Below are 25,717 nucleotides of genomic sequence, written 5' to 3'. Positions count from 1 at the left end.
AAAATCTATTGATCAGAGATTAGTCAGCCAACATGAGGAGGCAAATTTGATTTACAGCATATAAAAACAAAAATCTAAACAGTAAAGATAAATACAGCAAAAGGTTTTTTAAAAATACTTCCGATACTGGGTATATATCAAAGGCAAATTTATGTAAGGAAAAATGGCATATGAGTTATTCAGATAATATGAAGTACCAACATGATCAATATCAGATGAGCTCAGGAAAAGCCAGGATGGTAGAAACTTCAGTAGGGCTTTGAGTAGGTACAGAATTTAGTGGAAGGGAGGGACCATGGTTAGCCTGAAGAGCTTGGGACTATGAACCAAGAGAAAAAAACTCCCAGTCTTATTTTGCCCCTAACAAGCTGTGTGACATTGGGTAAGTCATTCATCCTATCTAAACCTCAGTTTCCTTATCTGTAAAAAGAGTTGGCCAGGGTAAATTATTTAATCTCCCTATGATGCTAAAATTTAACTTTCTGCTCTTTCCCATTTTTCTCATATTTCTGGTCCTATATCAGAAGAAATCAATGTTTTTAAGAAAATCAATAGTATATCATAACAAGATTTTATACTGAAAGCTACTTGCAAAGAAATGGCTTTATTCATTCAGCCATTTATTCATTCTTTTATTAATTCAACAAAAACTGATTTTGAAACCCAATGCCTATTGTAAACTAGATACTGTAGTATCCCACAAAGGTCTTCCCATATAAGGATAAAGTGGACACATGGCCTACCTTAAAGGAGTTTATAGTCTTATGGTAGAGACGGACATATAAACAGATAATTTTAATCAAAGGTAGATCTGAATAATAGAGATAAGCACAGAAGGCTTTAGGAGGGAAGAGGAAGTACTGTATATCCCCTATTTGGGATGGCGGAAGGCTTCATGGAGGAGGAGACACCTGAGCTACAGGATGAGTAGAGGTTAGTTAGTTTATGTAGAGAAGAAAGGTGGTCAAAATATGGAAGTAGAAAGTGTTAAAAAGCTGTTAGGAGTTGCTAGAATGTAAAGCACAAAACAAGGAATGGCAGCATAAGATATAAGTAAGGACTATATAGTGGGGATTCTTGTGTTCCTTGTAAAGGAACTTCATTTTACCCCCATAGATCAATGCTTCTCAAAGAATTCTACAACCCTCATGCACCTGAATCACTTGGGAATCTTATTTTTTAAATAACAATTTTTGGTTCTAACCTAGACCTGCTGATTCAGCATTTTTAGGGATAAGGGCTGAAGTTTTGCGTTTTAAAACAAGTATCTTAGTATTTCAGATGCAACCTAAAGTTTGAGAAAAAGGAACACTTTTACATTGTTGGTTGGGTTGTAAACTGGTTCAACCATTGTGGAAGACAGTATGGCGATTCCTCAAGGATCTAGAACTAGAAATACCATTTGACCCAGCCAACCCATTACTGGGTATATACCCAAAGGATTATAAATCATGCTGCTATAAAGACATATGCACACATATGTTTATTGCAGCACTATTCACAATAGCAAAGACTTGGAACCAACCCAAATGTCCATCAATGATAGACTGGATTAAGAAAATGTGGCACATATACACCATGGAATACTATGCAGCCATAAAAAGGATGAGTTCATGTCCTTTGTAGGGACATGGATGAAGCTGGAAACCATCATTCTCAGCAAACTATCACAGAGACAAAAAAACGAACACTGTATGTTCTCCCTCATAAGTGACAATTGAACAATGAGAACACTTGGACACAAGAAGGGGAACATCACATACCGGGGCCTGTTGTGGGGTGGAGGGAGGGAGGAGGGATAGCATTAGGAGATATACCTAATGTAAATGACGAGTTAATGGGTGCAGCACACCAACATGGCACATGTATACATATGTAACAAACCTGCACGTTGTGCACATGCACCCTAGAACTTAAAGTATAATAAATAAATAAATAAATAAATAAAAAATAAACTGCTTACCATCAAAAAAAAAAAGAAGTCTGGAACAAAGAAGAGCGAATGCCTCACTCACAAGATGTGCGGAAATGCAAGAGACCCATAGAGAATTGTCTCCCCATAATGTATAACTCACAGAGTGATATAATTACATGGAGTAAAGAATATAAATTATTTATTATTTAATTAATTATTTTATTTAATAGCAAAGTGTTTAGTACATAGACATAGCTCAGGAAAAGTAACTACCATTTTTACTGTTATAGTAATTGTTATTTTTGGTTTTGTTGTTGCTGTTAAACATTACTCAACCTATAGCTGGCCTGTGATTTACCTATTAGCCTGCAACTTACCTTGACCAGGAAGAGAATTGATCCAAAACCTTGGAGTAGGGTGGATCTTGCAAGTGGGGTAAATGGCCATGGCTAGGTGAAAGGAGAGTAAAAGGGACATGTGGTCATTAGAGACATGTCCCTTGGGAATTTCAGTGAGGGCCAGCATGGTCAGTTATCTGCAATCTGAGGTAACAGGGTAAGTAATAAAACAGGTAGCTGCTGTCATCATGTACCATGGTGATAGAAATTTTAGAGACTGTAATCTCTGCTATTTAGTTCCCTTCTCTACCCAAGCTGAATCTGAAGTTTTCTAACATGACATCCCCTACCTGGAATGCCTTTCCCTCCCCTCTCTACCATCTGTTTTCTTCAAGGTAGCATATAATGGAAGTCCTGGATTTAAATTCAAGCTGTGTAACTTTCCAAAACTCTTTTTCAAAATATAAAACAGAATAACTGACATTTAAATATTTTGTATTTCTGCTACCTAGAATGAGCTGTATGGGAAGTGATAGGTTTTGACATCCAGGCTTCAGGCTTTGAGGTCCAGCTTCCAGTGGTCACTGCCCAGGAATGGTTGGCTTAGAATTTAGAATATAGGTTTTACTACTTCTTTATCTGCCCAAACCGTATGGAATTTATGGTCTTTGTTTAGCATCTTCACAGATTCCATTCTTCTCATCGAAATACCCAAATGGTATTTTCTAATAGTTCAATACCCTGTTGTTGCCAAAATTTTCAATCTATCCCAGAAGCACATGCCAACTCCTTGGTGATGGGTTTGTCTACCTACAATTTAAGGACAATTACAGTGTATTCTTTTCAGAAGTTATTATTGGTTATTGAGTCATTTCCTAGTGGAAGTGGTTTTTTTCTTCTAGGTCCTCTGGATTCATCATGAGGTATTTGCTAGCTATCTCTTTGCACACAGCAAAATGTGTGCCTGTGATAGAGTATGACTTTTTAGAATGTTCACTAGGCTGGAGTTCAAGACTCAACTTTGTCACTTCCTAGTTCTCTGGGAGGCAGTATCTATGAAGGAGGAAATTAGCCAGCTAGCATTTGAATCCTAGCTATTCGTGAACTGGATGACTTCTAGCTGATATCAAACCCTTGCTGAGTCTCATTTTTCCCATTTGCAAAGTGAGAATGATAATGTCTGCCTGGTAGGGTTTTCTGTGAGTAGTAAATGAGGTACATGTCTAGTACAGTGCTTATTATATTATAATGGGCATTCAACAAAGGCGACATCCATACCAGCCCTTAAGGCACTAATGACCCCAAAAGGGTTGAAATACTCACATGCCCATGGGGTCCAGCACAAAACTGAAGTGAATGAGAATAAGTAAAACAACACTGCAACTGTGAAGGTACAAGGCAACTAAGAGTTGGCCTCAACATTGGAAAGAAAATAGGGAGTACTTATGGCAAACTGAGGAGGGTGTGTTTTATCTAACACACCCACCACACCAGCCCACTGGTGCCCCAATAAGGACAAACACGTATTGACAGATCTTCTGGTATTTCAAACGAAGCCAGAAATCAGACTTTTAGGTAAAGTCTCTCAATTTTTAAATATTGGCTCACTGAAAAACAAACACATACACAAACAAACTTGGATCCCAAACAAAATATTCCTATAGGCTTAATCCAGCCTACTGATGGGGAGGCTCTGCTCAATCACATTCACTTGACATCACTTAAATCTCGAGCTCATATTGCTCCCTAGCTCTTTTATATTACTATGTAATTTTCAGCGCTCAAGCTCTGTCTCCAATTACATCTGTTAAGCCACTTGAATAAGATATTTGAGAGCAGGAATAGTGTCTTGCTCAGGAAATATCCACAGCTGGTAAACTCTCCTTTGGGTGATATCCTTTAAGATCTTAAAATGGGTTGCTTCCCTCCAGAAGAACATGTTGACTTCTTTTTGCCTTGAAATGGGAATACAACAGCTGGCTGCCTCTGGGAGGTTGAAAATAAACAGGTTCAGAAGCTCTGAGAACAGCAAATGGGCGTTGTAGGTGGAGAAACAGCCCAAAATAAATACAGCTGTTGAGGTGGAAAATTCTATTTACTTTGGCTGTTTCGAGGTCTACACTGAGGAAGGGAGAGTTGCTATTCCTGAGACTCTCCATATACTGACAATGGGGGACCCACTCGGGGCTGGTCCCCAGTGCAGGACACATTCATACTCATCATTTCAGTGCATACTTGATGATGAGCACATCAACTGGGTATCTCAAATGAGGGAGGACATTTGTTAAAAATGAAAATGATGAGTGAAGGGCTCTGTACTGGATGGCCTATATTAATGTCTTCCCTGGCTTGGATTGTAACTCACATTGAACATTCCTTAACAATCAGGTTTTGTTTGCTACATAGACCTAACAGAAAAGACGCTAGCTCGGGAGGCAAAAAATCCAGCCTCTAGCATCAGTTTGCTAACTAGTTGTATGACCTTGATGAATCATTGCAATATTCTGGGCTTCCATTTGCTCAAACATAAAGTGAGAGATTGAGAGAGAAAATCTCTAGGGAGTCCGTGAGAAGAGTGGAAAGGGTACGGGATGAAGACCAGAAGGTTTTCATTTATGCCCTGACTCTGATAACTCTCTCCAGTGTGACCTTGGATGGCAAAACACATAATCTGTAAATCTCTGTCTTTACCTATGCCAGGCAGGACTAAGCACAGCCCTCTTCCCAGTATTGCAACTGTGAATGAGAAAATAAAATTTATGTGAAAGTGCTTTTCAAATGGATGTGTGAGTGGCTCATGCCTGTAATCCCAGCACTTTGCAAGGCTGAGGTGAGCGGATCACCTGAGGTCTGGAGTTCGAGACCAGCCTGGCCAACATGGTTAAACTCCATCTCTACCAAAAAAAAAAAAAAAAAAAAAGTTAGCCTAGCATAGTGAGTGGCATGCACCTGTAATCCTAGCTACTTGGAAGGCAGAGGTGGGAGAATTGCTTGAACCTGGGCGGCGGAAGTTGCTGTGAGCCTTCAGTGAGCCAAGATTGTACCACTGCGTTCCAGCCTGGGTGACAGAATGAGACCCTGTCTCAAAATAAATAAATAAATAAACAAACAAAAATCAAATGGATGTGTGAGCATATTGATATCAGACAGATCTAGTTTTCAATTCTGACTGTTACCAATTCTGTGTGCTTATGGGCAGGTGAGTTAAGTTCTGTAAGCATCATTTTCCCGATAATTACAAAATGAAAGTAATATCTACTTCATAGGATTGCTGAGATGACTAAAGTAAGTTAAATAATGTAAAAAAAAAATGTACTAGAGCAGGGACAGGCACAGAGTGCTATAAATAGTAATTACTAGTGCTAGTAAAAACACAAATGATATTGATATAAAATCTCCATCTCAAAAGCCTTATTCTGATCAGCTAAATCTTAAACTTTTTTTTACAATTTGATCTGAACCAAAATTATTTTTCTCCCTTTACAAGAAAAATCATTACAAAACAAAAACAGTGATCCAGTTTAAGTTGAGAATGAACTTAGTTGTTTTCTGAAGTCCACAAGAGAACAGAGCCAAAACATTCAAACATTCTGACCCAAGCTTAGCGTGCTTGCTACACTGAGGTAAAACATTAATGGGAAAGTCTCCTTCAGCCAGGAAATATCACCTTCCCTTTTTCAGAAGGGAGCCCATGGAAATGCTTGGGTTTATAGTGGTGGAGGAAACAAAACCAAAAATCTCAGACAGATACTGTTGCAGATTGTGTTCTCAGGGCAGCATTCCAGACTTCCGTAGAACCCAGCTCACAGGAGTAAACTCTTTGTCTTAATGGCTCTCCAGACCTTGCCAGTATCAGAGGGGACACTTGAAATCATACTGCATCCAGATGGCAAGAAACATCTTAAAACTCTCATCACAAGACAAGTGAATTAATCATTCATTTAATCATTGATTTACATATTCAAAACACAGCTATTACTGGTCTAATATGCCTAGCCACAGTACTAGCTCCTGGAGCTACAAAGCAAAGTCCTTTCTCTCAGTAATTATCTGAAATTCAAAGATTCTCACACATATCACTCTGGGGCTTTACAATGTCAGAGCTCTTGTGACTAAATATCAATATACATAAAACAATATTAAATGTTTCTACTTTTCACCATGGATATCTTACAGCTAAAGAGATACCCCCCATAGAAGAGAAAGACTATATACATAAACATGTTTGTGGTACATTATTTATAGTTGTAATAATATAAATGTACAACAAGTTGAATAATAGTTTAAAAGTTTGGGGTGTATGAAATGATGGAATACTATGTAAGACATTTAAAAGGACATAATTACAGATATCAGCATGATGAAAATTGCTCATTCATGCGAGATGATAGAAATAATGCAAAATTATGATGTATCGAAGACCTTCAAACTTGTGTGTGGTTGTAGCTATAAAACATATACATTTGTTTCTAAATAAGGCCTGGAAGATAAAACATTTTTAGTTATATAAAGATAGTGGAATTTTTGATAATTTTTTTCTATTTTCTAGACTTTCTATATTATTACATGTGTCAGCGAAGTAAGATGTTGACACCTGCTGTGATTTGAGTGATGGGAGAAAATGTTTCTTATCCTTATAAGTATCTCTTTCAATCTGTACACAGGGGTTATCAAGTTTTTCTTGTTTTTTCATTTTGTTTTGTTTTTTGAGACAAGGTCTCTCTCTTTCACCCTGGCTGAAGTGCAGTGGCGCAGTCACAGCTCACTGAAGACTCGAACTCCCGGGCTCAAGTGATTCTCCTGCCTTGGCCTTCCAAGTAGCTCGGACTACAGGCATGTGCCACTACACCCAACTAATTTTTTTATTTTTTGTAGAAATAGGGTTTCATTATGTTACCCAGGCTAGTCTCAAACTCCTGGGCTCAAGTGATCTTCTCACCTCAGCCTCCCAAAGTGCTGGGATTATAGGCATGAGCCACCCACACCTGGCCGGTTTATCAATTTTTAATTATCTTTCCAATCTGGTCCCTTTCTACATTCTCATTAATGTTGCTTTAGCTCAGCTTCTCATCTCACCTGATTCCTGCAGTAAGTAGCCTACTAACTCACCTCTGTCTTCATTTCCACACTTCCCAGTTGCTTCTCCCAACCACAAGCTTCTTATCCTCAAATGTTCAGTCCTGGTTTAAACAGCCTTCTCCAAACACACCAGACATGCATATGTATATTATGGTGGTACCTCAAATTGTTATGATCCCTGGCGGTACGGATTTATGGACAGCACAGAAAGGAAGCTGTTTAGCTTCCTTTCCTCTCTTCCACATATCCTCTCTTTGGTATGGCTAATTTGCAGTTCCTTCCATTTAGAAGGACCTGAGAGGTAGAAAAGTATACTGGATAAGACTTCAGCTTCTACACAAGAATAGCTAAGACACTGAAGAATTAAAATAAGGTAAGCGTTTGTCATGCAAGATCTAAGACTGATCAGAAGCTAAATAAATACAATAATCAGGTTATTTGCTCCCAGTAATGATTCAGTAGCTCCCATCAAACTAACTCTCCACATATAACCACAAAAAATCTAGGCAAAATATAAAAAACCAATTCCCTGGAACAACTGGAAAGCAACTAAAAGCAGGCAGAAGCTGGAGTGGGGGACCTGTACTTAGATGAAGGAAATGGAACTGGGTGAGTTATCTATTCTTTAATGGGTCTTTATTTGAGGGTAGGCATTAGTTGGCTAAATCTCAAATAGAAGTCTATAATCTTAGTGGCTTGAAATATCAAATAACAGAGTTTGGGAACCACCACAGCAGCTAAAAGTGAGGGGAGAAGTCCAGGAAAGGAGACAACCAGAAAGGAGAGTCACAAATTCTGCATATAAACTCTGCCCAAATCTCTGGCTGACCCCTAAGCTATGCGTGTGTAGTGCAAATCCTAAACAGCCTGCTAAGGATAAAGGAGTTAAACAAGATTTCACCTTCAAGGTAGACTGAGTTAGAAGTTAGAGTCCAGCAAAGTTAATTGTAAGCAAATTCAGCACTGTTCAGAAGAATATAACAGAATTCAGAATCCAAAATATCATTTAGAATGTCTAGGATAATCCAAAATTATAAAGAAAAAAATAGAATAATTAGAATAATGTGAAGAAATAGGATAATGTGATGCATATTCCAGAGACAATCAATCAGTGGAAACTGGACAGATGTTGGAATTAGCAGAAAAGGATTTTATTAAAACTATCCTCAGAAGCATAGAAGAAAATATGTTCATAATGAATTTTAATTCTGCTTTTTAAAGAAGAAAATCCTCCAGCAGAGAAAAAGTTACTGTTGTTTAAAATGGAAATTCTAGAACTAAAAAATATGTCTGACATTTTTCAAAAGAAGACATATATGCAACCAACAAGCATATGAAAAAATGTTCAACATCTGTATTTTCATGCTGCTGACAAAGACATACCAGAGACTGGGCAATTTACAAAAGAAAGAGGTTTAATGGACTTACAGTTCCATGTCGCTGAGGAGGCCTCACAATTGAGAGATGACAGCATGCTGACAGCCCTCGCAGCCCTGGCTCGCTCTTGGCACCTCCTCGGCCTCAGCCTCCACTCTGGCCCTTCAGCCCGCCGCTGCACTGTGGGAGCCCCTCTCTGGGCTGGCCGAGGCCAGAGCTGACTCCCTCTTCTTGCGGGGAGGTGTGGAGGGAGAGGTGCAGGCAGGAACCGGGGCTGCATGGGGTGCTTGTGGGCCAGCAGGAGATCCCGGTGGGCTGGGCTCAGCAGGCCCCGCACTCAGAGCAGCAGGCCAGCGCCGCAGGTCCTGGGCAGTGAGGGGCTTAGCACCCGGGCCAGCAGCTGCAGAGGGTGTGCCGGGTCCCCCAGCAGTGCTGGCACTGCTCTCAAATTCTCACCGGGCCTCAGCTGCCTCCCCGCGGGGCAGGGCTTGGGACCTGCAGCCCACCATGCCTGAGCCCCACCCCCCGCTGTGGGCTCCTGCACAGCAGGAGCCTCCCCAAGGAGTGCCGCCCCCTGCTCCGCAGCGCCGGGTCCCATCGACCGCCCAAGGACTGAGGAGTGCTGGCGCACAGCGCGGGACTGGCGGGCAGCTCTGCCAGCCAGCAGCTCGGCCCCTGCGCAGGATCCACTAGGTGAAGCCAGCTGGGCTCCTGAGTCTAGTGGGGACCTGCAGAACTTTTATGTCTAGCTAGAGGATTGTAAATACACCAATCAGCACTCTGGGTCTAGCTCAAGGTTTGTAAATGCACCAATCAGCACTGTATCTAGCTAATCTGGTGGGGACTTGGAGAACCTTTATGTCTAGCTAAGGGATTGTAAATACACCAATCAGTACTATGTGTCTAGCTCAAGGTTTGTAAATACACCAATCAGCACTCTGTGTCTAGCTCAAGGTTTGTAAATGCACCAATCAGCACTCTGTATCTAGCTAATCTGGTGGGGACTTGGAGAATGGTTGTGTCTAGCTAAGGGATTGTAAATACACCAATCAGCACTCTGTGTCTAGCTCAAAGTTTGTAAACACACCAATCAGCTCTCTATGAAACAGACCAATCAGCTCTCTGTAAAATGGACCAATCAGCAGGATGCGGGTGGGGCCAGATAAGGAAATAAAAGCAGGCTGCCCCAGCCAACAGTGGCAAGCTGCTGGGGTCTCTTGCTGCGCTGGGGAAGCTTTGTTTTTTTGCTCTTTGCCGTAAATCTTTGGGTCCACACTACCTTTATGAGCTGTAGCACTCACCGTGAAGGTCTGCAGCTTCACTCCTGAGGTCAGCAAGACCACGAGCCCACCGGGAGGAATGAACAACTCCAGACGAGAGGAACAAACAACTCCAGACACGCCGCCTTAAGAGCTGTAACACTCACCACAAAGGTTTGCAGCTTCACTCTTGAAGCCAGCGAGACCATGAGCCTGCCAGAAGGAAGAAACTCTGAACACGTCCGAACATCAGAAGGAATAAACTCTGGACACACCATCTTTAAGAACTGTAACACTCACTGCGAGGATCCGCAGCTTCATTCTGGAAGTCAGTGAGACCAAGAACCCACCAATTCCGGACACACAATCATGGCAGAAGGTGAAAGGTACATCTCACATGGGGTCAGACAAGAGAAGAGAGCTTGTGCAGGGAGACTCATCTTTATAAAACCATCAGATCTCATGAAACTTATCCACTACCGCAAGAACAGCAAGGGAAAGACCTGCCCCCATGATTCAATTACCTCCCATCTGTCACTCCCGCAACACCTTGGACTTCAAGACAAGATTAGGTAGGGACAGAGCCAAACCATATCAACATCATTAATTATATAGAGAAATGTAAATCAAACCACCACAATGAGATACCATCTCAAACCAGTCAGAACGGCTATTACTAAAAAGTAAAAAAAAAAAAAAAAAAAGAAAGAAAAAAAACAGTTGCTGACAGCTGACAAGGTTATGGAGAAAAGGGAGAATTTATCCACTGCTGGTGGGAATGTAAATTACTTCAGCCATTGTGGAAAGCAGTTGGGCGATTTCTGAAAGAAGGTAAAACAGAATTACCATTCCACCCAGCAATCCTATTATTGGGTGTATACCCCAAGGAATATAAATTATTCTACCATAAAGACATATGCATGTGTATGTTTATGACAGCACTATACACAATAGCAAAGACATGGAATCAACCTAAATGCCCATCAGTGATGGACTGGATAAAGAAACTGTAGGACATATACATTGTGGACTACTACACAGCCATAAAAAATAATGAGATTGTGTCTTTTGCAGCAACATAGTTGGAGCTGGAGGCCATCATCCTAAGTGAACAAACACAGGAACAGAAAATCAAATGTTGCATGTTCTCACTTATAAGTGGGAGCTAAACATTAAATACATATGGACACAAGGGAACAACAAACACTGGAGCCTATTGTGGGGTGGAGGGTGGAGTGTGGGAGGACCTGGGTGATGAACTAATCTGTACACCAACCTCCATGGCACACAATTTATATAACAAACCTGCACGCGTACCCCGCACCTAAAATGAAAGTTAATAACATAAAAATATGTCTGAAAGTTTTAGACAGAAGATTTTCTCAGGAATAGACGGAGTAACAAATAAAACAGAATAGAAAGTCCAGAAGCAGATCCATGAATGTGTGGAAACTTGATGTAGAGCTGAACCGACACCAAATATCACTGGGCAAAGAATAGACTGTTTGACAAAGTGTATGAGATAAATGGAAACTCATTTTAAAAATGGAATGGGTACCCCCCTCATATCACACACAAAATTGTCTCTAGAGAGATTAAAAGCTGAACCGTAAGAGGCAAGATTTTTAAAAATTTTAGAGGACAATATAGTGGAAAATTTTTGTGATCTTTGGGCAGGTAAAGAATTCTTAAACAAAAAATAAGAGAATACTAAACATAAAATTGTAAATTGATAAATTTAAATATATTTTTAAGAGTTAAAGCAAAATATAGAGTGTGCATACAATATGCTATCTCTTTAATAATAAAGAAGATAAAATAAAAGTGTATATGCATTTATTGTCAAAAAAGAAGTGAAAAAAATGTAACCAACAACAGATTAAAATGATTATATAGAGTAGTTGAGATCAAAGTCGAGACTGAATAAACAGGAATTAAGGTTTTTCTCAGTACACACAAACACATGCATATATATATACACACACATACACAAACACAAACATATATGCATATATACACATACATTCACCAATAAAGCATATAAAATTATAAATATTTTTGAAGAATTACGAGAAATGCAAAGAAATTTGACTGTATTTACTAGTTTTGTTTTTAACAGGTGTATGGTGTTGTAGCTCAAAAACTGTGTGCATTGCAGAATAGAAGTGAACAAATATTGTTTGTGGTGGTGTTTGAGAAGCAGGGTTTTCACTATGGAAGAAGGAAATACAAAAATGGAATGGGAGAAGGAAAGAAATAATCATGTGGTAATGCATGTGAATTATAAGTATTACTAGAAACTCAGGCTTTTCTTTTATCTTTTTTTCTTTTTTTTATATTTTTTATTTTAGAAAAGCAGTTTCCTATCACTGTCTCCTGTAAAGAGCTAGAAGCAATGAGGCACCAGTAGCGACGAGCCCACCTAGAGCCCAGATACTGGATTCTAAATCTCATTTCCACCTAAAGAAACCAGAACTCCTTGGAGAAATGGCTGAAACCAATTCCAGGACACGGAATGTACAAAGTAAGCCCGAAACATCACATGGTGCCAGAAAGCAAGTATGTGCTTAAAGACTAGTGGCTGCGTGTTGTTATCAGCAAGAGAGCTATTTTCCAAGTGATAAATTCTATGGAACACTTACACGTAGAAGAGACAAAAGCAGAATTGTAACATGAGTAGGGGGCCCAGATTCCTGATCTTTCACCCTCTATCTTCTCTCCCATCCCTGTTCAATAGCAGTCCCTAAGTAATCCTTAGTTTGAGAACCACTGGTCTATTAAAAAGACCCTGGGTTTAAACATCTGGAAACCTGAATTCTAGACCAAATTTGGCCCCAAACTAGCATATAGTCTTAGGTAAATATTTAGTTTCTCTGGGCCTTGTTTACTTATGTGTAAAACAGGGATAAAGCTACTAATTTACATATTTCTCAGTTGTGAGGGTCAAATAGGATAATTATAAAAATGCTTTAAAAGTTTAAAAAGAATGATTTATACTAGTGTAATTTATCACACCCCATGGGGCCTTTCGACACATTCTTCTACACCATTCGGCAGCTGTCATTCTTAGCAGCTGCCAAATAGTGATGTTGCAATAAGGGATTTTTAATATATATCCCGGGAAAATGGAGGTTCCTTTCCAGCCTTCCTTTCATTAGAAATTTACTGGTCATGTACTGTGGCAGGCATCTAACAGCACAAAGACATAAGATTATAATCCCAAGGAGCTCACTGTCTAATAAAGGAAAATTAGCATAAATAAAATACTTGCAATGTAGTATAAGTACAGTGCTTGGAATATTCATGTTACATTTTCAACCAAAAGACAATGCAATTAGCAGTACCAGGATTTAGGAGAGAGAAAGGTGGCAAGGAATACTAGAATGGAGTGAAGGTGCCAATATAGTAAATCAGCTGGCAAAAAAATTATTTAGTACTAACATGGAAGTAAAGATGGCAGATTGAAAACGTGAACCTACTTTCACTCACTCTTAAAATCCCACTAAAGCGACAACCTGAATCAACCAACATAGCAAAATGGTAATGTAATTTTTTTTTTTTTTTGAGACAGTCTCACTGTGTCACCCAGGCTGGAGTGCAATTGCATGATCTCGGCTCGCTGCAACCTCTGCCTTACGGTTCAAGCGATTCTCCCGCCTCAGCCTCCCTGAGTAGCTGGGATTACAGGCACCCACCACCACACCTGGCTAATTTTTGTATTTTTATTAGAGACATGGTTTCACCATGTTGGCCAGGCTGGTCTCGAACCCCTGACCTCAAGTGATCCACCCGCCTCGGCCTCCCAAAGTGCTGGAATTAGAGGCATGAGCCACTGTTTCCTGCCAGGTATGTAATTTAATCATTAGGGTCTATGCCAGCAAGTCAAGGTTGATTTAATACTTAAAATTAATCAATGTAATTTACCATATTAAGAGGTTAAAGAAAAATCATATAATCAATTCAATAGATGCAGAAAAAAAGCCATTAGATAAAATTTGAATTCTTTTGTGATTAAAAAGGAAAAGCTTAGCAAAGTAGGAATTGAGAGGATCATTTTTGTCTAAAAATTAATAAAAATAAAAATTTAAACTTCACAAGCAAACAGTTCTTAATGAGGAGACATAAAGTTTTCTCTATGATATAAGGAACAAAAAAAAGGTGTTACTATCCCACTTCTAGTCAACATTGCCTTAGGGAACCTAGACAAAACAGTAAAACAAGGTAAAAAAAAAGATATATAAAAATTAAATGCAAAATATAAATAGCATCATTTGCAGGTGATATGATTATGTTTATAAAAAGTACAAAATAATTCAGATAAATTATTAATTCAGTTTAGAAGTCTACTAAATAAATCAATTTATAATTTATTTCTATATATAAGCAACATTTAGAAAACAAAATTGAAAAAATTATGCCATTTATTGTAATATCAAACATATTACATAACTAGAATTAACTGTAATTTAAGTGTTGTATTGCAAGAGTTGTAATACAAGAGTTGTATGGCAAGAACTATAAAATTATAACAAGGAAAATTAAAGGAGACCTAAACAAATATAGAAATTTACTGTACATTGATTGGAAGACTCAATATTATAAATATTGCAATTCCCCACAAATTAATCTAGTGTCAATGTAGTTCAATTAAAATCTTAGGATTTTTGGGAGGGATATTGACAAGCCAATTCTAACATATATAAAAATACAAAGAGCCAAGCATAGCCAAGACACAATTATAATTGGAAGATTGGCTCTACTGCATACTAAGGCTTATTAAAGGCTATAGAACTTAAAAGAATGAGGTACTCATACAAGGATAGGCAAATAGACCAATAGAATAAAATATGTATACTCCAGAAACCAACCTACACACATAAAGATATTTGATTTACTACAGGGATAGTACTGCAGAGAAGTCAGAAATAGGTGAACCTTTCAATAAATAATTATAGAAAAGTTGAGCATTATTTTGAGGGAAAATGATACTGGAACCCTAACCATATAACAAAATCAATTCCAGTTAGTTCACAGCCCTAAATAGGAAAGGCAAAATATTCAACCCTTTCAGAGCATCATATGGGAGAATATTTTTGTAACTTCCAAGTAAGGAAATATCCTAAAACAAGGCACAAAAAAGGATTAATCATTAATAAAAACATTGCTAAACTGACAGAATTAAAACTAAGTTCTGATTATGAACATACACCCCACTAAAAGAAACAATCAGAGTGCAGGAGTCATTAGTGTCCCTAGCATGTAGATTGTGATCACTTCATATCATTTCTCCAGGACGGGAGCCAGAGCACCTTATAGAAATAGCCATTTGATATCCAGAATAGGAAATGTACAGGATGAATCTGGGACATCTTGTCTTTCCTGAAAGCAAGAAAGTTATGAATGGCTACTAGAGTCATACTGAAAAAAGACCAATAAGAAAGAGCTCATACTGGCCAAAGATGGACAATTCAAGCATCCAAAAAATAAGGGCTCCAATGAACTGAAATACATCAACTAAATATAAATGCATGTGTTCATTAAGATATTCCAAAAATAAAACATTATTGACGACTTTTAGTCGTTTCTAGAGTATTAAATATGTATTATAAAAATAATAAAGTAAAAAAGAGAATCAATTATTTATACTTCTTTTTCCACATTCTATATTTTAGGCTAATAAAATAGGGGACCAGGAAAATTTCTTCATAAATGAATCACAGCTAGTAAATGCAAGAAGAATAACGGAATCAAAAAATCAACAGCTTGGAACCTCTAATGAAATAATTTATGTAGGCAATTTGAATCGTCCAAAAATATTAAGTGAAAGGTTGATGGAGAACCTTTTTAATGAATAGATCATGTTGACACTATCTAAACTCATTGGTTAATTTAACATCACTAAGAGTGGGATAGCCAGGCATTGTGTGCCTCTGGACATGATGGAGAGGAATTTAATAGCATGGCGTCTATATACTAGCAACAAAGTGTCAGAAGTTGAAATTTAGAAGTGTTAACATTTATAAGATTAATGAAGATATGAAATACTTATGATGATGATCTTGGTAAGGCAAAGATTTCTTAGGTATGACACCAAAAAAGTTCATAAAAGAACACACTGGTAAATTGGACTTCATCAAAATGAAAACATTTTGCTCTTTGAATAACACTGTTTTATAAATGAAAGAATGAAAATGAAATGAAAGAACAAAAATTAAAAGGCAAGCCACAGACTAGGAGAAAACCTTTGCAAAGCCTATATCTAATAACGAACTTGTATCTGGAACATATAAAGAACTGTCAAAACTCAACAATAAGAGAAAAAACATTCCAATTAAAAATTAGGCAAAAGATTTAATCCGACACTTCACCAGAGAAGATATACAAATGGCACATGAAAAGCTCAACAGCATTAACCATTAGAGAAATGCATATTAAAACCACAATGAGGTATCACTGTATACATACCCATCAGAATAGTTAAAATTAAAAAGACTGACCTTATCAAGTATTGGTGAGGATGTAGAAAAACTGGAATTTGTATTCACTGGTAGGTAGAATGTAAAATGGTACAACCACTTTGCAAAATATTTTGACAGTTTCTTAAGAAGTTAAACATATACATATCATATATCCAGCTATTTAATTCCTAGGTATTTACTCAAGAGAAATGGAAATTTATGTCCTTTCAAAGACTTATTCCTGAATTTTTATAGCAGCTTTATATTTAATAGCCAAAATGTAAAACAACTCAAATGTTCATCAAAAGGTGAATATATAAACAAATTGTGGTATATCCATACAATGGAATATTGATTCACAATACTGATCCAAAATGAATGAACTATTGAATGACACATGGGTGAATCATGAACTACTTATACTGAATGAAAGAAGTTTGGGTGAGAGTACACACTGTGTGATTCAACTAACATTAAACTCTGGGAATTCCAAACTAATCTATAGTGACAAAAAGATCGGTAGTTGCTCAAGGAGGAGAGTGGGGTGGGCAAGGTGTAGAGATCACAGAGAGTCATAAGGAAGTGGTTGCCAGGATGTGAAAAAGGATTCTGAAGGCTCATTTGGGTTCAGATAGAAGAGAACCATGCTTGACTCATGATATGTAAACAGGGACAGGAGAATAAGTAGGGACAGGTCCTACATATTTCCGTTTAACACCTTCTGTTTGGGTTCAATTATTAGGTTCACTTTTTAGCTAATGAGGAGTCATTGAAGAACATACAAGTAAATTTTGATTGATAGTAGAATTGAAGGTGGGTGCAGTAGGCAGAATAACAGTCACCCCCAGAGATGACCACATTCTAATCCCCAGAAACTGTGAGAATTAAGGTTGCAGATGGAATTGAGGTTATTAATGAGCTGACTGTAAAAGAGAGAGAGAGAGAGTATCCGGGATTATCCAGCTGGGCCCAATGTCATCACAGGGTGCTTGGTGAAAGAGGAAGTGGGAGTGTAAGAGTCAGGGTAAAATGTGATGGCAAAAGCAAAGCTAGGGGGACACAATGTGAGAAGGACTTGACTGGCTATCGCTGGCTTTGAAGATGGGAGGGGGCCACAAGCCAAAGAATGTGGGCAGCCTCTAGGAGCTAGAAAAGACAAGAAAATAGATTCCCCTTGAGTTTCCAGAAAGGAATGCAGCTGTGCCGACACCGTGGTTTTTATCCCAATGATATAATTTCAGACTTCTGACCTTCAAAACAATGAGATAAAAAAATTGTGCTGTTTTAAGCCCTACATTAATGGTAATTGTTACCACAACAAAAGGAAACTAATACAGTGAGTCAGCATAAAATTTTGGAGAAAGATCAGAACAGGTGACAATACTGGTCCGAGTAAGGGCAGATCAAGGTAGATAGGACTCCAGAGTGGTGAACTCTGGGCCTCTAGAGGGCAACAGGAAAGTATTGAGCACTGGAAGATAGGCATGATAGACCTATGAAGGGGAAAAGGGTCCTGAAAGAAGATAGGCTGTGACCACCTTGACTAATTTCATTGTATTCCTAAATACAAACCCTGGGGAAGGGTTTCCTTCCCTTCCCCACTTTGTTGTTCACTTCTATGCAGTATTCTTTGCCACACTTCTCTCTCCTGAATCCTGATACTGCTAATTGCATTGTCTCCTGGTTGAAAATATAACATGAATGTTCCTAGCATTGTACTTATACTGCATTGCAAGTATTTTATTTATGCTAATTTTCCTTTATTAGACAGTGAGCTCTTTGGGATTATAATCTTATGTCTTTGTGCTGTTAGTGCCTGCCACAGTATATGACTAGTAAATTTGTGATGAAAGGAAGGCTGGAAAGGAACCTCCATCTTCCCTGGATATCCCAGAGAAAGAGAGTTTTTCCTTCTGGAATTTGGCAGAAAGATTCATGAGGGACAGGTAGAGACTTGCTGGGCAGCCAAGAGAATCAGTAACTTTATTGTTCCCATCAGGTATTCTCATTTCCTAGCACGAGCCCTGCCTGTATCTTACCTGAACCATAAGGTATGGCCTTCCCAACCAGTGCATGGGCTGCAAATCTGGAACATTTCTGAGGTTTGACTACAACCTATTCCTACAGTCCTTGAACAAGCACCATCCACAATCAAACCAATGCAAGTTTTATTTGTGTAAAAACTCTTAGCCAGAGTTCTTTAACTCTCAGTTATATGATTGATTACCTTAAACCACACTAGCAATTGGATAAGGCATCAAAAACAGAAAAATCTGCTTATGCAGTTTTTGGATCTGAAAACCAAATGGAAACATTAATTTCTTAAAGCTGAAAGCAGTTACTGGATAAAACTCCTAAGGAATCTTGAACAACCTATTGAACCAAAACAACATCCTGTCCCACAAACGCTTTCAATTCATGTTGTGAAATAAAACAGACATCGTGTTTTTACCCTCAGAACATTAAACATAGTATTGAGCTTCCAGTGCTATGAAATAGATATACAATTTCAGAAAGTAGATGAATAAGTCTCCAGTTCTGTTGAAAAATAATTATGGCTTAATGTTTATTTTTTTCATGTTGAACCTATTGCCAGCTAATTATTTCAAAATGAATCTCTTTCCCAATCCTCTGGAAAAGAATGCTTGGTATGTTTTGATTGGTCAGTGTGCCATCATGCATTTTATGAGCTCTTTGCTTAATCTGATGTTAATGTATTCTTTCCAAGCAAGGGAGAAAGCCCATGCCCAGAGGTGGAAGCAGTGGCACCTGAATTGCTCAGCTGATATTCACTGATAAGAAAGCGACCCTGTCCTCTTTTTTGGTCATATTCTTCCATAATGCCTTCAATAGCACCATGCATTTCTCCATCATCACTGTCTTTGCACACATTCATTGTCTGAATGAGTAATAACCTTTCCAAGGTCTATCTTCCCTGTTATATTGTAAGCTCCAAGAGGATAAGCAACATGTTGGTCATAGTCCATACCCTATTTCTAGTGCCTAATACTGTGCTTAGTATATAGCAAGCACAATTTTAATATATTATGAGTTAATGAATGAATGAACAGGCCCTTGTCTCCTTCCCTAAGGGCTAGGCAGTTTAATCCTAAGACAACCAGGTGCTTTCAAAAATAACTCTTTCTGAACCAATACAGGTGACATGGACATTTTCTTAATATATTATTCTCTAAGGAAACATTTCTTCACTTGTTCCACTACGCTATGTAAACACTCTTATCTGGCAATCTCTTCAGCATGTATACATTTAACGTGTATTTAGTATTTTTCTTTTCTAACTTTTTATTGTGCTTGTATCTTATCAAATCATATTATTTATACGTTTTTACTGTGTATGCTCCTAGACTTCCTCTCTGCCTGCTCTGATCTTTGGATGCTGCAGGCGAAGCACCTTACCTGTCCCAGCTTTAGATTCCAGCATTAAATGCTGGCATTAAGCCCATACCAGCCCTTGGATAGGCAGAGATCAGATACTGTTTGACATTAACAGAGAAATGAGATCCTAATGAGGACACTCTCAGGCACCAATATGAATTAGCATGGAAATGGCCAAATTCAACCTTGAAGTTCTGCTCTCTTTTCGATTTCTTCTTCATATCAAATAACCATCAAAAAGTAAGTAAACTTTCAAGGGAATGATTTGTTGGGTTATGGTCTCAGATTTCAAGAAATAGGGCTTCTAGGGAAAAGCATCGGCACGTGTGATGTCATGAGAGGAGGGGAAGAGGAGGGTCTAAGGCAGAATGCCGCCTCTGCTCAAAGATGTTATTCATTTTATACCACATTTCACCTCTTCCCTCATGCCTTTCTCCAGTCTTCAAAAATGTGAATTTTGGTCACTGTTGGCCTTGCCTCTTATTGCAAAGAAAGTTTTGTCATTTAGTGACTGGGAAATAGCCTGTTGTATGAATTGTATTTAAAATTATTGTGCAACTGGGACCATAAGCATGAATGTATAAGGGTTCACAATCTTCCCTCTCTGTGACTGCTAGCTTGTCTCCAGGACTCTGTGAAGCTAATCAGGCCAATGGGTAGAAAGATCTGATAACTGGAAGATAAGATACAGACTGGGATTTTTTTTTTCAATCTTATAAAGAGACAAATTTATTTATTTTTGTGTTTTGTTGGGAGAGAGGGAGGAAAAAGACCAGAACCCTGAGTGCAATGCAGGGATGAGAAAGAGATTTTGTGAGTTGAGCAAGTCTTTGAAAAAAAACTTCAGAGTGATGGGAAATAGAAAGAAAGATGCAGAAATAATTGTTAGGATGTCTGCTAGATATTCTTCTGACATTCTTCAAGAGTCCCTGGTAAATATTTGAATTATTTTCCAATTAGTCTTGGTGTTCAAAGTTGTGTTTATTTGAATGTCATATAAACTGGACCACATGGGTCAACATATTTAAATTGACTTCTTTTATCCATATATATAGAGAAATCAATATTGCAGGTAGGTGAAACCCAACCAATCAGAATTTTCTTAACTAATTTAACTTGTATTTTCCTTGAGAACTCTTAAGAGAAACAAATAAATGAAAGACAATTATTTCATACAAGAAATTCTGTTAGAATACACACATATGCAACTGTTACAGAATAGAAACACACTTCAATCTTTAATACTTTTTACAGACACAACTCTAATCAGTAACATGAACATTCGACTGAAATTTAAAATGGTGGCCCTGAAATACTTTTTAAGTCTCAATTTTTGTACGTACTAAAGAAAGATAATCAAAAGATATTTTTGGCATGAGACCCAATCCCTTCTGGCCTGAGGCATTGTTATGAAAGGTAGTTTGTTGCATACCTGTCTGGCTACCTAAAGCCACTTCCCGTTTGCCCCAAGAACACTGTGCTGGCAGTGAGCCACATTTTTTTCCAAACAGGAAATGGGTTAAAGACACAGCATGCAATTCTGAAGGGACCCCAGATCAGCAACTTACGGACACATGTTTGGAAAAGGAAACTTCACTTTGATGCATCAATCATTTTTCACTCTGTTCCTTTTCTTTAAAAGACGGGACTTTATGAGCAGTACCTTAAGGAGAAGCAAACTAAGATTTCTCTGTGCTCTGAGGAAACTCTAAAACATTGAAGGGCAAAACAACTAGATTTTTATCTTTCCCATTGGAAACTTTTTCTCAAAATGACCCATTCCTATCAGGCCTTTGGGGCTCCTCCTCAGGTATGTTTCTATTCTCTATTAAGACAAAGGGGCAGGCTCTCACACCCACACAACACTGATAGACATCACTTGTGGCCAGATTTTTTGTTTGGGTTTTTTTTTTTTTTTTTGCCTTCTTTAACTTCTGTTGAGAAGAAAGCCCTGAATTCCAGCTTCCATCAATTGGCTGTCATCCCAGGCCACACAATTGGCAAAGCCCTGCATCCTAAGACCTCCCAAAAACAGAGAAGCCTGGGGATCTGAAACAGGTACCACTGATTATTTTAGCTGTAGAGGCCTTTTGTTGTCATTTGCCACTGTTACTTACACAATTCTTTAGTCGTGACTTTTAAGTCTCTCACTTGGTCTTTTTTCCACTGAAGTTTTATCCTGATTCATTCTTCCTCTTCCCAGACCTTGGCTTGTGACATCTCTGCTAGGATTGATATCAACACCATGGTTGTGTTTATGTCTCCCCCTGCATGCCAGGCTCACTGATGTGGTGAGTGGAGCTCTGGGAAGCCGAGCTGAGGAGGCTGAGTCATCAGTCATCATCTCTTGACTCCCTGGGTCTGACCAAAATGACAGAGGCTCCTCACACTAAAGTGTACTGGGAGACCACAGCAAAAAAGAGGCAAAGGACTTCTCCCATTTGACTCTAACCACTTTATAAAAGGTCACATTTTTGTCATAGCAGTAGGGAGATGTTAGTGTGGAAATCTCAATGCAGCTTCCATTCCATTTCGTTTTTCAGGCCACAGCTTAAATGACCCTTTCTAAATGGTAAACCACATTGAAAAGCTATTAAAGCTTAATATAGGCATACTCTGTGACCCAGCATTTTTAATTCTGAATATATATATATGCATATATACATTTATATGATATATTCATATAGCATATACATAATATATATAATAGAAATCCATTCATATGTTTACCAAAAGGCATGTACAGGAATGTTCATAGCAGTACTATTTATTTATTTATTTATTTATTTATAGAGACAGAGTCTTCCTCTGTTGCCCAGGCTGGAGCACAGTGGCACAATCACAGCTTGCTGCAGTCTCAAACTCTTGGGCTCAAGCAATCCTCCTGCTTCAGTCTCCCAAGTAGTTAGGACTACAGCTGTGCACCACCACAACTGGCTAATTTTTTTTTTTTTTTTGAGATGGAGTCTCACTCTGTTGCCAGGCTGGAGTGCAGTGGCGCAATCTTGGCTCAGTGCAACCTCCTCCTCCAGGGTTCAAGAGATTCTCCTGCCTCAGCCTCCCTAGTAGCTGGGACTATAGGCGCCCACCACCACACCCAGCTAATTTTTGTATTTTCAGTAGAGACAGGGTTTCACCATGTTGGCCAGGATGGTCTTGATCTCTTGACCTTGTGATCCGCCCACCTCAGCCTCCTAAAGTGCTGGGATCACAGGTGTGAGCCACCATGCCTGGCCCACCTGGCCAATTTTTTAATTTTTTGTAGATACAGGGTCTCCCTATATTGCCCAGGCTGGTCTCAAACTCCTGGCCTCAAGTGAACCACCCACCTCCGCCTCCCAAAGTGCTGAGATTACAAGTGTGAGCCACCATGCCTAGCCATAGCAAGACTATTGATATTAACAAAAAACCAGAAACTGCCTGAGTCTCCATCAACAATATAATGATATATAAATTGTGGCATATTTACATGATAACATACTGTATAGCAATGAGAATGAAAGAAATATAACTACACACAACAATATGGATGAATACCACAAACATTATATTGAGCAAAAAAAGCAAATAGAAAAAAAATACTGTATGCTTTAATTTACGTAAAGTTAAAAACTAGGCAAAATTACGCTGTTAGAAGTCAGGATAGAGATTATTCTCGGGGGTTAGGAGTGGAGTATGGGGAGGTCTTCTGCCCTTCTAGTAACTTTCCATTTCTTATGTAGACACTACTTACCCTGATGTGTTCAGGTTGTGAGCAAGTTATGCACTTTTCACTTTTTATGTTATGTTTTAATTAAAAACTTTTTAAAAAGTCATCTTCTCGTATGTGCTACAATATGGATGAACTTTTGAAGACATTATCCTGAGTAAAATAAGCCAGAAACAAAAGGATAAATATTGCATGAATTCACGTATGAGGTTCTTAGAGTAGTCAAATTCATAGATACAGAAAGTAGAACAGTGGTTGCCAGGGGATGGGGGGATGGAATAGTGGATGATTTGGGTTTAATGAGTTGAGAGTTTCAGTTTATGATCGTGAATAAGTTCTGGAGATGGATGTGGACGATGGTTGCATAACAGTGAGATTGTACTTAATGCCACTGAACTGTACCTTTCAAATGGTTAAACTGGTCAATTTTATGTTACGTATATTTCACCATAACTTAAAAAGTCATATCATTGCAGACTTTCCTGATCACCTCACATAAATGGTACTTAACATAATAGGTTCTCAGTAAATGTCTGATGAACCAACACATTTTCCAGGAGATCTGAGGCAAGTTATGAAACACTTCTGTAAATCTTTCCTTTAGTTATTTATTTATTCATTCATTATAAAAATCTTTATTAAGCATTTATGCATATATTTTGGGGGAATTAAAAAGTGAAATGAGACAGCATGTTTTTCCAGAGATGAAACTAGCTCTTGCAAGTAGAAATGCATTCCCAGCCTTTGGCTAGCTCTCGGCTAGAGGCTGGGTCAGAACAGCACATAGATTTCAACTCAATGTGACAGATCAAATTGTTTAGTATTAGCTGCTTCCAGAATTTGTTGAAAAGGATTCTGAGGCCCATCAGGGCTCAGCAGTAAAATAAATATCATTAAAAAAGAGTTAGCTTTGTGAACTTGGACAAGTTAAAAAAATTAATAATATTTACATGAGACCTTGAAAGAGGCGTGATGGCATGGGTATTGTGGGTTTTGCTATCCATCCTTAGGCTTGCTCGTGTCTCACCAAGAGTGTTGCAGATGTGAATCAGAAATCAGACTCAACCTGAACTAACAGATGATTTCCAGGTCTTTTTCACCTGGGAGTCTTTGAGAATAAAAATGAGTCCCAGTGCTTAATGGTCCTCATGGAGCTAAACAATAAGCTGCTCTAGTTTCTTTTCTACAAAATGAGAGGAATTATTACTGTTATTCTATTCCTTGGTTCACAGACATATTAGGGAGGTGGAATCCCTAAGATAAACTCTAAACAAACACACATTTGGATGTCCTTTTGAACCTTGATGAGAGCAAAAGGAATGAATATAAGATAATGAAATTATTATTACAACTGACATTTTTGAGAATCTATTGTGTACTATGTAATACTTTAAGTATCTAAGGTAGCTTGTAGCATCATCTTTTTTTTTTTTTTTTTTTGAGATGGAGTCTCACTGTGTTGCCCAGGCTGGAGTGCAGTGGCACGATCTCGGGCTCACTGCAACTTCTGCTTCCCGGGTTCAAGAGATTCTCCTGCCTCAGCCTCCCAAGTAGCTGGAATTACAGGCGCCCACGACCACGCCAGGCTAATTTTTGCATTTTTAGTAGAGACGGGGTTTCACCATATTGGCCAGGCTGCTCTGGAATTCCTGACCTTGTGATCACCCTGCCTCAGCCTCCCAAAGTGCTGGGATTACAGACGTGAGCCACCATGCCCGGCCATAGCATCGTATTTTAACAACAAACTGATATGGTAGGAATTCTTATTCACAGTTTACAGAAAAGAACACTAACTCATAGAAAAACTTACAAACTTGCCCTAAGTCACATTGTTAATAAATACTTGATCTGGGATTGAACCCACATCTTTCCACACATCACAGAGACACTGTAGGAACTTGGTACTGCTTCTCAGACATTGCAATCCCACAAAAGGGCAAGGTCAGACTTGCTGTTAAAGGCAAATGTCCAAAGCACCTGTTCCCTTGCCAGATGTTGATGTTCTTGTCCTCTCTGCCAGCTCCTATCCCACAGGCAATCAGGGCCCTCACACTGTCCACCACCCTTGTCCACACACTCGCCCTGACTGAAGCCCTGAGGGTTCCCAGATCCCGCACCTGCCTTCCCACCCAGGGCTTTGTGCCTAGAGAGCTGCTCTTAAGCCCTTCTCTGAGGTCTTCTGAATA

At 38.7% G+C, this 25,717-nt stretch overlaps 1 long non-coding RNA gene across 6 annotated transcripts in view, besides 1 other annotated feature; it reads right to left on the bottom strand.

Moving 5' to 3' along the window:
* LOC105378316 (uncharacterized) overlaps window positions 1-23,671 on the bottom strand; it is a 69,554-nt gene extending 45,883 nt beyond the window's left edge. For 3 of the 6 annotated variants that reach the window (XR_945981.3, XR_945983.3, XR_945982.3), the window contains exons 1-2: window positions 23,556-23,671; window positions 21,940-22,183 (exon numbers count right to left, since the gene is read on the bottom strand). This is a non-coding gene — a long non-coding RNA (uncharacterized LOC105378316). Of the gene's footprint in view, window positions 1-21,390; window positions 21,486-21,939; window positions 22,184-23,555 lie in introns of those variants that run through there. The other 3 variants (XR_945984.3, XR_007062374.1, XR_945985.3) reach the window with 3 other exon arrangements.
* Window positions 9,806-9,968: a silencer, noted in NCBI's record as "fragment chr10:60207389-60207551 (GRCh37/hg19 assembly coordinates)". NCBI's record gives its function as "represses an EF-1alpha promoter that drives an FKBP-Casp9 reporter gene in an ReSE screen in phorbol 12-myristate 13-acetate-treated (for megakaryocytic differentiation) K562 erythroleukemia cells {active_cell/tissue: K562(+PMA)}" and the evidence as "EXISTENCE:reporter gene assay evidence [ECO:0000049][PMID:32094911]".
* Window positions 23,672-25,717: the final 2,046 nt, after the last annotated feature.

Source organism: Homo sapiens, chromosome 10 (genome assembly GCF_000001405.40).
Source record: "Homo sapiens chromosome 10, GRCh38.p14 Primary Assembly".
NCBI classification, from domain to species: domain Eukaryota; kingdom Metazoa; phylum Chordata; class Mammalia; order Primates; family Hominidae; genus Homo; species Homo sapiens.
The sequence above is the reverse complement of the archived record's forward strand: the minus strand, read 5'-3'. Positions and strand labels throughout refer to the sequence as shown.